Below are 12046 nucleotides of genomic sequence, written 5' to 3'. Positions count from 1 at the left end.
ATTTGATGATTATAATAAGTGATTGTAATTGTTCAGGGAGTCAAAATTACTAAATATGATTGAATTCACCTGGTTATTGCATTTGACTAAAAAGAAACGCAGACAAAAACTTACCATAGTCCTTAATCCAGAGTTCTGCAGGCATACAGAAAGACCCGTAACGCATCACATGTGTGGTTGTAATAACCCATCTCCTGATCAGACTGATCTGAGATTCTAATTTTAAAAAATGTAAATCGGCCAGGAGTGGTGGCTGATGCCTGCAACCCCAGCACTTTGGGATGCCAAGGTAGGTGGATTGCCTGAGCCCAGGAGTTTGAGACCAGCCTGGGTAATATGGTAAAGCCCTATCTTAACTAAAAATACAAAAATTAGCTGGTGTGGTGGTGCACACCTCTAGTCCCAGATACTTGAGAGGCTAAGGCAGGAGGATTGCTTGAGCCTGGGGGGCTGAGGCTGCAGTGGGCTATGATTGAGCCACTGCACTCCACCCTGGGTGACAGAGTGAGACTCGGTCTCAAAAAAATGTAAACCATATCTAACATTTGATAATACCTATTGCCTTTTGACAATATACACCTGAAGTTTCATGACCCAGTAATTAAAACAACTTTTTTTTGGCTATTTTCTATAAGTTGTCTAGGAAATCTTGCAAGTTTCTAATTTCTAAAATCTTCTTATGGTGGAATGAGCCCAATAAGAACTGAAAACTTTTTTTAGTCTTATCGATAACATTATAAATTAATTTGTTTAAAATGTGGAACTTTCATTTTCAGAAGTGAAGAAATCCCCAGACAGAGTTACCTTAAAGTTTTAGGTTCAGATAGGAGGCTTTGGGGAAAATGTCCCAAATTGATAGAAATGTTTCCCTCATTCCTATTTTGGTTAAACAATTTCTTATTGTTACACATATGGCTAACTATAATTTAACATTTTCTTCCTTGAAAAAAAATTAACTCAAATTGCTTATAAATCTAAATGAATGACTTCTTATAACATACCTTTAAAACAAAGCAATAGTCAGTGGGCGCTTTATATTTCATTTTATGCTGAGTCCCATAGTAAATGTTGACATTTTCAAACTGTATAAAACACGCCAGATCTCGAGATGTCTGAAAGACAGGGAAAAAAATAAAACTTCAACTGAGATGACAGTTAACAATTTTCCAGAGTTGTCCTTCATAGCACAACTAAGGATTATATTTTAGTAAAGAAAATATTGACTTTTAGGTAATTTATATAAACATCTGCCATGTATAGGTTTTCTCAAAGGCAAGTCTGAAAGGTTGGAATGGAAACTGATATGGCCAAGTTGGGGGACAATTTAGTAAGATCTATACATAAATCTTTCCCAATATGAAAGATATTGAATGTTCCCAACACAAAGAAATGATAAATGTTTGAGATGATGGATGTGCTAATTACCTTGATCTGATCACCATACATTATATGTATCAAAACATCACTATGTACGTTATGCATATGTACAATTATTATTTGTCAATCAAAAAATAAAATTAATTTTTTAAAAAGAGTGCAGCCATGAAAATCGGTGCCACTGACCCAGAAACGGAGTGAAAGATTATACTGCTGTTCTAATGCCTGTCTGGGGACTCCCAGAGTCAGGATGGACTGTCCTTGAGATGTCATTATTGATGCAGTCGAGACAAGGTGACCGCTTAGCCAGAAATTTCATTTTGACTTTTGCCATTCTAAGTCCGTGATGGATTTTGCGATTGAGCATTAAAAAAAAAAAAAAGTCCCCCTCAGGACGAAAAATGAGAGATAAACTTATGCTCAGTAAATCAGCACACACTTCATGCACTTCCTCCTGAGAAAAAGGATTTCTTTCACAAGTTCTCTTTACTGCAGGCAGTGTTGCCATGGAAACAGAGACCTCTCCTCCACGGATAACAGGCACTGTGAAGACTGCAGCCTGTAATCTACATATTTGGTTACACTTCAATTACAAATGTGTTCCATTAGTTTTTTGTTTCGCTTTCTATATTTCTTTACTAGTTAGTGAATAAAGAATAGATGGCAGAACTATTTACACCTTAGTGCACAATTATTTCTTTACATATGCTTGTATTCTTTTCTTACAAGATATTTTCTTCTGGATGTTCAAAGTTTACATTTTTAAGTTACAAACGAATGCATATTAGTCACATTTAAAATATATATATATATAAATAATAAAATGCACATCTTCCTCCACCACCCCTTTTTCTTATTTTGTTCTTTTCTCCAAAGGTACCATAGTTAATAGTTTGGTAGTATTCTATTCTGTTCTATCCCATGACGTTGCCCAGGCTGGTCTTGAATTCCTGAGCTCAAGCGATCCGCCTTCCTTGGCCTTCCAAACTGTTGGGATTAGAGGAGTGAGCCACCGCCCCTCGCCTTCTTTTTCTTAACATTGCATCTAGGAGTCTTTCTACATCAAGACATGAATTAATATATGACATTCATTTTATGGCTGCAGAGAATTCTACGGTACAGGTGTAACGATTTATTTAACTATTCTACTACAGATGATTAGAAGTTATTTCAATATTTAGCTATTACAAAAAATACTGTGCATGTGAGCTTATATTTTTGTGAGATAGATTCGTCAAGCATGGAGTTGCCATTTGAAAGGATTTTTACTCCCTGTTACATGTACATAGATTTTGCTAAATTGTCCCCCAGTTTGGCCGTATGAGTTTCTATTCCAAGCTCCCAGGCGTGAGTGTCTCTTTTTCTTACCCACTTCCACCAAAATTTGGATATTATCTATATTGTTTATTTTATCAATCTCATGCTTAATTTTCATTTCCCTGATCAGTAATGAGACGGAGCAACTTTTAGTTATGCGGTGGTTACCGGTACTTCTTTTTCTGTAAATTTTCCCTTTAAAAGCTTTGCCATTTTTCTGTATGTTTATCTTTTTCTTATTGATTTCTTGAAGTCTTTATATTTTATGGATATTCATACTTGTTTATACATGTTGCAAATGTACTCTCTCACTGTAGTCAGTCTTTCACTTCTTGTTTGTTATCTTTGGCCATAAGGTATTAAAAATAACTTTATCAGGTCAAATCTGGCCATTTTTCTCCGTTATAATTTTGAGTTTTTATTCTTGCTTAGGAAACCTTTCTCCAGCTCAAAATTATAAAAACATTAACCTATATTTTCTTTTTTTTCTCCCTTTCTTCCTTCCTTCCTTCCCTCCCTTCCTCCCTTTCTTCCTTTCTTCCTTTCTTCCTTCCTTCACTCTCTCTCTTTCTTTCCTTCTTTTTTTTTTTTTCAGGATCTCATATTGTCACTTCAGCTGGAGTGCAGTGGCACGAACATGGCTCACTGAAGTCTTGACCTCCCGGGCTCAAATGATCCTCCCGGATCAGCCTCCCAAGTAGCTGGGACTACAGGCATGTGCCACCATCCCCACTAATTTTTTTATTCCTTTTGTACAGACAGGGTCTCCCTATGTTTCTCAGGCTGGTCTTGAACTCTTGGGCTCAAGCTATCCTCCCACCTGGTCCTCCCAGAGTTCTGGAATTAGAGGCATGAGCCACCGCACCCAGCCAGCCTCTGTTTTCTTCTAGGATTTTATACTATTTTTCTCTAAAGATATTTTAATCAATCAAGAATTTAGTTTGGTACATGGAATGAGGTAGGAAATTATATTTCTAAATGGATATACAGTTATTTCAGTTCTATTTGTTGAATACCACATTCTTTCCCCACTGCTGTGATATAAATTCCAACTTTAACTTCTCTGATATTAGACGGTTGTCTGTCGACCTGTTTGTCTCTAGCTGTGCTGTTTTTATCTAATGTTTTGGCACAGCAGGAGATCTACCTTGATGTTCTTCACAATTTTGGGAAGGTCTATTTTGGAACAGTGTCTTTTTTCCATGAAATCAGTCTGTGAATTTCAAGTAAATAAAATCCTACTGATATTTTTATTAAAATTATATTAAATTTATAGAAAACTGGGAAGAATTAATAACTTTTCTTTTAGCAACATGGTACCTTTCTTTTCTTTATCTTCTACTTTTTTTTTTTTTTTTGAGATGGAATCTCACTTTGTCGCCCCAGGCTGGAGTGCAGTGGCATGATCTTGGCTCACTGCAACCTCCGCCTCCTGGGTTCAAGCAATTCTTCTGCCTCAGCCTCCCGAGTAGCTGGGATTACAGGCGCCCGCCACCACGCCTGGCTAATTTTTGCATTTTTAGTAGAGATGGGGTTTCACCATGTTGGACAGGCTGGTCTCAAACTCCTGACCTCGTGATTCGCCCGCCTCGGCCTCCCAAAGTGCTGGGATTACAGGCATGAGCCACCGCACCTGGCCTGCAACATGGTACCTTTCTATTGATTCAGTTCTACTTCATTTCTTTTAATACATTTTATATTTTATGCCATATGAATCTGGAACATTTCTTGCTGAGTTTATTGTTAGGTATTTTGCATTTTCTGTTTCTAGTCTGCATGGATTCTTTTGCATTATGGTTTGCATTATATATATTGTTTGTGTAAAGAAAAACTTTCTTAGTTAATACATTTATTTGGTTCTAACAGTTTTTCAGTTGAGTGTCTCATATTGCTGGATAGACAACACTGTGAAAAATCAGTCTTTGCCTCTTCTTTTCTATTGGTTATACTTATTATTCTTTTCTTTAATATACTAGTTAGTTCCTCAACCCCGTGTTAATGGTAACAGTGAGAGAAGGTATTCTTGTCCAACTCTACTGTAAACACTTTTTTTTTTTTTTTTTTTTGAGACCTAGTCTTGCTCTTTCACCCAGGCTGGAGTGCAGCGGCATGATCTCAGGCCACTGCAACCTCCACCTCCCAAGTTCAAGTGATTCCCGTGCCTCACCCTCCCCAGCTACTGGGATTACAAGTGTGCACCACCACACCCAGCTAATTTTTGTATTTTTAGTAGAGGTAGCGTTTCACCATGTTGGCCAGGCTGGTCTAGAACTCCTGGTCTCAAGTGATTCACCTTGCCTCAGCCTCCCAAAGTGCTGGGATTACAGGCATGAACCACCACACCCAGCCAAATGTAAACACTTTTAATTCTCATCACAGAGTATATTGTTTGTTATATGTTTATTTATATGCACCGTTTATATTCAAATGCCTAAGACATAAACATTTCGAAAACAAATTATTTGTGGGTCAGTTGTGAGGTGCCCAGTGTGGGACTGGAATGAGATGGCAGAGATGGGAAAGCATCAGATCTAAGGGCAGGAAAAGAGTGGAAGAGGCTAAGGAGAACAGTAGCTGTCCTGGACCAAGAGTTAGCCATAATGCCCCTCCTGTCTTCCGATAGAGACAAGAGTCTCCTTACTGGAGGTAGCAGACCTGGATGTTCACCATAATTTCATCGGCTTGGAAGTGTGGGTTAAGCTTTATCAGAGGTAAATTCATGCATTGCAATGCATGAATATACCATTGGTGGTGCCCTGCATTTGGAAGGGAAGGCAAAATGCTTCCGCGTACCCAAGATACAGATTAGACATGTATTAATGGTGAACAAAAGACGGAAAGGTCCTAACCCTCTAAGAAAGGTCTTAGAGAGAGCTGATGGTCAGAATAAGAGTTAAAATTACATTTCAAGGAATAATTTATTACATACTTATAAATTTGAGGCAATAATCCTGAATCACCAAGTAAAAGTTAAATGTTGTCTAAAATACCCTGTTAAATTAGGAAGGGAAATTCAGAGTACACCTCAGAGAATGATTTTAAAATATTCAGAGTCTAAGGGCTAAAATCTCAAGGAAAATCTAGTCAAGAGCTGGGTGCGGTGACTCATGCCTGTAATCCCAGCACTTTGGAAGGCTGAGTGAGGCGGGCAGATTGCTTGAGCTCAGGAGTTCAAGACCAGCCTAAGCAACATGGTGAAACCCCGTCTCTACAAAAAATATGAAACATCAGCTGGGCATGGTGGCATGCACCTGTAGTCCCAGCTACTTGGCGGGGGGTGGGGGGTGGGCTGAGGTGGGAGGATGGCTTGAGCCTGGGAGGTGGAGGTTGCAGTTAGTCCAGATCATGCCACTGTACCCCAGCCTGTGGATTAGAGTGAGACTATCTCAAAAGAAAAAAAAAAAAAGAAAGAAAATCTTATCAAGATTTCCAATACCTCTATGATTCCAGATAAAAGAAATTTAACTATAATGACAATAGAACAACAGGGGTAAAAAGTCATTGGAAATAGACGGGTAAAGTAACAAAATAATCTCTAGAAAAGTGCTTTTGCCATCATTTTTGAAACCTGACTTTAAAATAGATAAAATACTTTTACCTTCAAGAGAGCTACGGGAAAACTCAAAAAGATTTCAATAATACTGTCCTATTTGTATACATGTTGCAGGATTATGGAATCTGCAGCAACAGAGAATGTATTTAACTTGCCAACTAAGGATTTCTTTAGTTTCATTCTCATGAAATGCTTTATTGCTAAGTGCTTTTTTTTTTTTTTTTCTGACCTTAGTCTTTCCTTTGGGTACATAATAAATTCCAGAAGCCCGTAAAAGAAAATAGCGCCTTTTCCAGGATTTCTTTCCATCTTCTTTCAAATAAAGAGCTCCTTCCAGTTCTGGTACAATGATAGATGTTCCACAGAAACTTTCCTGAAAGTGAGATTCCGACGACATAAGACACACACGAAAGATAAAGCACGCATTTTTATTCACATTTAAAAACTTACAAATTAGCTTTTAAACTAAAAGTCAATTTTGTGTACAACTCTGATCGAATGCATATGTTTATATTATATGCTATTTGCCAGAAGAGAGGAAGAATAACACATCGATCAAGAATCCTGGCTCCTGAGTTAGACCTCAAGGCCTCTTCACCACTTAACTCTGTGACCGTGGGCCATTAAACCTCAGTCCACTTACTTGTTAAAATGGAATAATAATAGCCCAACTTCATAAGGTAGGTTGTCAGTACAGTCTCGGCATATTGTAAAAGTAAGCCTTTAATAAAAGCAATTAATGTTATTATAAAATGGAAGACAGAATAATTATTACTTTCCTGATAAGTAAAAAAGTTACCATTTCATTGCTGGTAAATAGAACAATTATTATATATAATTCTACACATAAAATTGGGGAGAATAGTTAATGGGTACAAAAAAATAGAAAGAATGAATAAGACCTACTATTTGAAAGCAAAGCAGGGTGACTATAGTCAATAATAACTTAATCGTACATTTAAAAATAACTAAAAGAGTGTAATTGGATTGTTTGTAATACAAAGGACAAATGCTTGAGAGGATGGATACCCAATTCTCCCTGATGCGACTAGGTCACATTGCATGCCCATATCAAAATATATCATGTACCCTATAAATGTATACATACTATGTACCCACAAAAAGTAAAAATAAAAAGAATAAAAATAAATAAGTTAATATTTTATTATTGGGATAGTTTTCTTTTCAAAGAAGGAAGAAGGCAGTTATAAATACATCAGTATCAGAAAAGAATAACAAAGCACATCTTCTAGTTGTAGATTTTTAAATCTCAAAACTTGCATAGGATTATAGAATTCTTAATAAATTTTGTTTTAAAAATCAATAGAATAAAATTATATATTATTCTATTTTACAATTCAAATAGTCAAACTTATTTTTTGCTTTCTTTTTATAACTCTCAACATCCTCTCATTTAGTTCCATAAATGCAAAATAAACTGGATTTTGCATCCTCCAAGTACATTTTTATGTAGTAGAGCTGGAAAATATTTCTGTTTACACTCCCCAATTTCTCCCCAAATTTGGCTAGTATTAGTCATCCTGTTAATAATCTCTTAAATTCAGAGTTTTGACCCCAATTAGACAGCAGGATAACGATTGTTCATAGCATAGCATGCTTTGAATTTTCTTTTACATCCAGCTGTAAAACATCGCTGAATTCCTGGAACAAGGACTATCCTGTTGGGCCTCCCTGGGAAATGCTCACTGTGCTCATGCTCCCAGGCACCAGAACCTGCAACACCTGAGCTCAGCATCTGGGGGGTGGCAGCTGGTTCTGGTAGCTGCTTTATTTGGCACCGGGCTGTGAAAAGCAGGCAGGGAAAAGACATGCGCAAGGCCTGGGCGGAACCTTAATGAACGAGAGAGGGCGCTCTTCAGCATGAGCTAATTGGCTCCAGCATGAGCCAATTGGCTCCAGGTGGGAACCGGATGCCGAGGGCATCACCAGGTCTTCTGATTTTTCAAGGGAGGTCCAAAATTTACTAACTCAGGAAATTTACTAACTCAGGAAAAGGTCCATGGATTGTCTCAGGGAAATACAACCTGGGCAGTTCTAGCATGACCATTTGTGATTTGAGATCTGGCACTCATTTCAACTGCGTTATGTGCTGCGAACAGATCCTCGATTTTTTTTTTTTTTTTTTTTTTTTGAGACTGGATCTTGCTTTGTTGCCCAGGCTGGCCTTGAGCTCCTGGACTCAAGTGATCCTCCCACCTCAGCTTCCTGAGTAGCTGGGATTACAGGTGTGTGCCCCCATGCGAGGCTCAGAGCCTTGATTTTTAACATAGATACTATGTGAAAACTCATTAGAGGTTTCCAAAAAATCAATTGTCAAATGAACTTCTGGAACACGCCCCAGTAGTGGTCATCATAGACATCTGTATGGTAATCAACACAGTGCTTTCCCCATCTCCCTGAATCTCTGTGATAATTCAATACAATTCGGAATCTGTCAGGTTCTCGGGGGGGCGGGGACTGTCCCATGAGCACATGAAGAGTGCTAGGCAGAGCCGCCTCCTGTAACGGGTCCCTGACTCCAAATCTCACACTTCCTACCACGTCTAAAATGTTGAGAGAGCATCTTAGAGGTCCCTTTTAAAAAAGATTTGGAAATTTTTACGTCTGACTTCCGTGGAGCACTTAAGTAATGGAAACTTGGAATGCTAGAAGTTTTTAAAAGTCAAGAATTACAAATCCAGCTTCATTTATCTAAAGCCACATGTTGTAACAAATGACTCAAAAAAGAAAAACAGTTGAATTATCTAAATAGCTATAATTTAGAAATAATTTGATTTTAACACCCCAACTTAAAATTTCAGTGTATGTCTTTAGATTTTTCCATTGTTCTCGGAAGCAAATGACTTAAAAATAGAGCAAACGTCCTTCTCTTTTCTTCCACTCTGCAAAATTAACCTTACCTCAAGTAAGGATTCCTTGTTCTTAGCATTCATTTTCTCATTAGTTTCCTTGCTTTCTTTTTTTCCTCTGTTATCCAAGTAGAAATTCTAAATAAAATGTTAAAAGATCAGATCAGTAAGTGTTCATTACCGTACTAGACTCTGCAAGGAACTCACAGTCTTGCTGGAAAGAAGATGTTAAGTGTGTGAAACAAACAGGGAACCAGAGCATATGATATCAGTCAACCATCAGAGCCTTCCCAAATGCTGATACCACATTGCCAAGGCAGGAGTGAAACCTCTTCATCCTCCCATAGTGTACACAATCAATGAAAACACAGAAGATAGAAAACAGTAGCGAAAAATACATCATTTAATTGTTGAAGTCCATGCATGGACCATGCATGTTAAATGCTGGAAGCTGGAAGTCCCCAAGGCACTGGCAAGAGCTGGAGGCTGGAGTGAAGGTCAAGCTCATGTCCTATGCTCAAGAGGGGAACTGCTCCGGCAGGCAGATGCCACATGGGAGCTCAAGGCCTTGTAGGCTGGCGGGATTCTGGCTTATCAAGAGAATCCAGAAATGTAGATGTTTGCAAATGTTAGCGGCCTCTTTTATTTTTTAAAAGAACTGCCTGGGTCAATCACAACACAAGGTTTACTATTTAGCAACTTCCAAGGACAGAAAGAAGCAGAAAGGGCATTTCTGGAAAGAAAACCAGCCTAAACAAAGACAGGGAGGACTATGATCTAAGCACTCACAGTCTGGGTGTGGCTCATGCCCATAATCCCACCACTCTGGGAGGCTGAGGCAGGAGGATTGTTTGAACCCTGGAGTCTGAGACCAGCCTGGGCAACATAGTAGGACCCTGTCTCTACTAAAAATAATAATGAAAAAATTAGCTAGGCATGGCGGCATGCATGCTTGTAGTCTCATCTACTTGAGAGGCTGAGGCTAGAGGACTGCTTGAGCCCAGGAGTTTGAGGCTGCAGTAAGCTATGATCACTCCACTGCACTCCAGCCTGGGCAACAGAGTGAGACCTTGTCTCAAAAAATAAAATAAAATAAAAAAATAAAGAAATAAAAGAACTCACAAGTGGACTCATGGTCTCTAAGCATGGTTTGTATTAATTTCTGGATCATACTTTGTTAATACTGAGTATCAACAGGATGGCTAAAAATAAAGGGTTCCAAAAAATCACGAGCACTCAAGGACTAATTTTACACAATAAGTGCAGCTGAGGTATCCATATGCACCGTGAATATAATGAGTGACCACTGTCATAGAGTGCTGAGGATTTTATGTAAAAACACGGAGTTTTACAAAATAATACATAACAAATGTATTAAAGGCAGAAAATGTATCTCAGAAGCACTGTGACTAAATTAAGGACCCTACTGAATCTAGGCACAAGTGTTTACACCATAGGAGTGTTTCTCCAAGTATAATCCTCAGACCACCTTGAAACTTGATACAATGCATGTTCCTGGGCTACACTGGAATCTCTGGGATGAGGCCTGGAAATCTGCATTCCAATATGCTTTCCAGATGATTTTTATGCACACTGAAGTTTGGGTTTTTCTTATCGTTGGCTTTTCTTTAGAGACAAGGTCTTGCTCTGTTACCCAAGCTGGAGTGCAGTCACATGATCATAGCTCACTGCAGCCTTGAACTCCTGGGCTCAAGCAATCTCCCCTGCTCAGCCTTCTAAATAGCTGGGACTATAGGCATGTGCACCATGCCTGGTCATGCTGAAGTTTGAGAATCAAGTGTACTGGACAGAAAGGAAAAAAACTGCAGACAAATAAAATGTAGAAGTTTAAAATATCTCCTTGAAATACAATGCATAAAAAAGGTGATTTGCTAACTTTTTTTTTTTTTGAGACGGGGTCTCGCTCTGTCACCCAGGCTGGAGTCCAGTGGCGCCATCTCGGTTCACTGCAAGCTCCGCCTCTCAGGTTCATGCCATTCTCCTGCCTCAGCCTCCCGAGTAGCTGGGACTACAGGCGCCCGCCATCGCGCCCGGCTAATTTTTTGTATTTTTAGTAGAGATGGGGTTTCACCATGTTAGCCAGGATGGTCTCGATCTCCTGACCTCGTGATCCGCCTGCCTCGGACTCCCAAAGTGCTGGGATTACAGGCATGAGCCACCGCGCCTGGCTGCTAACTTAAATAGAGGAAATAAGTCAAGCACAATTTTTTTTGTTTTTTTGAGACAGCGTCTTGCTCTGTCACCCAGGCTGGAGTGCTGTGGTGCAATCTTGGCTCACTGAAACCTCTGCCTCCTGGGTTCAAGGGATTCTCCTTCCTCATCCTCCCAAGTAGCTGGGATTACAGGTGTGCACCACCATGCCCAGCTAACTTTTTGTATTTTTAGTAGAAATGGGGTTTTTTAATGTTGGCCAGGCTGGTCTCAAACTGCCCCCCTCAGCCTCCCAAAGTGCTAGGATTACAGGCATAAACCACCACGCCTGGCCAAGTACAATTCTTTTGGTAATTCTTATTGAAAAGAAGTTTATTTTAATATGTTTTTCCAAGACTTTTAAACTTTTATTTGTTATTTGAAAGGATGTTATATTGTGAATTAGTGCAATTACAATATAGAATTCAGAAAACTATTTAAATCTTAAATGTTTTGCTTGAAGACCACGACTAGCCATATTAGGTAACATATTCTACCTGCTGGAAACCTATGCTAAGGCTTTACAGATACGATTTTATTTCATCCTCACAAGAACCCCGTAACATAGGTACCATTGCTATTGCTACTTTACAGATGAGGACACAGAGGATTAAGTGATTTTCCCAAGGCCGATTAGTGGCAGAACGTTGAGTTATTAAATAATTTTTTTTTTTTTTGAGACAGAGTCTTGCTCTGTCGCCAGGGTGGAGTGCAGTAG

The 12046-nt window shown here is 38.9% G+C and overlaps 1 protein-coding gene across 2 annotated transcripts in view, besides 1 other annotated feature; it reads right to left on the bottom strand.

The window, feature by feature from the left end:
- The window catches only part of APBB1IP (amyloid beta precursor protein binding family B member 1 interacting protein), a 129463-nt gene that overhangs the window by 25110 nt on the left and 92307 nt on the right, over positions 1 to 12046 (bottom strand). Inside the window, exons 9-11 of one of the 2 annotated variants that reach the window (NM_019043.4) lie at positions 9169 to 9255; positions 6477 to 6620; positions 1002 to 1112 (exon numbers count right to left, since the gene is read on the bottom strand). In NM_019043.4, the coding sequence (NP_061916.3) occupies positions 1002 to 1112; positions 6477 to 6620; positions 9169 to 9255 (342 nt within the window). The remainder of the gene's footprint in view (positions 1 to 1001; positions 1113 to 6476; positions 6621 to 9168; positions 9256 to 12046) is intronic. The other variant, XM_011519514.3, reaches the window with a different exon arrangement.
- Positions 1874 to 1943: an enhancer, noted in NCBI's record as "active region_3169". NCBI's record gives its function as "activates an Ori minimal core promoter by ATAC-STARR-seq in GM12878 lymphoblastoid cells {active_cell/tissue: GM12878}" and the evidence as "EXISTENCE:reporter gene assay evidence [ECO:0000049][PMID:35858748]".

This window comes from Homo sapiens, chromosome 10 (assembly GCF_000001405.40).
Source record: "Homo sapiens chromosome 10, GRCh38.p14 Primary Assembly".
Classification (NCBI taxonomy): domain Eukaryota; kingdom Metazoa; phylum Chordata; class Mammalia; order Primates; family Hominidae; genus Homo; species Homo sapiens.
Note: the sequence above shows the minus strand (reverse complement) of the source record. Positions and strands in the feature narration are given on the sequence as shown.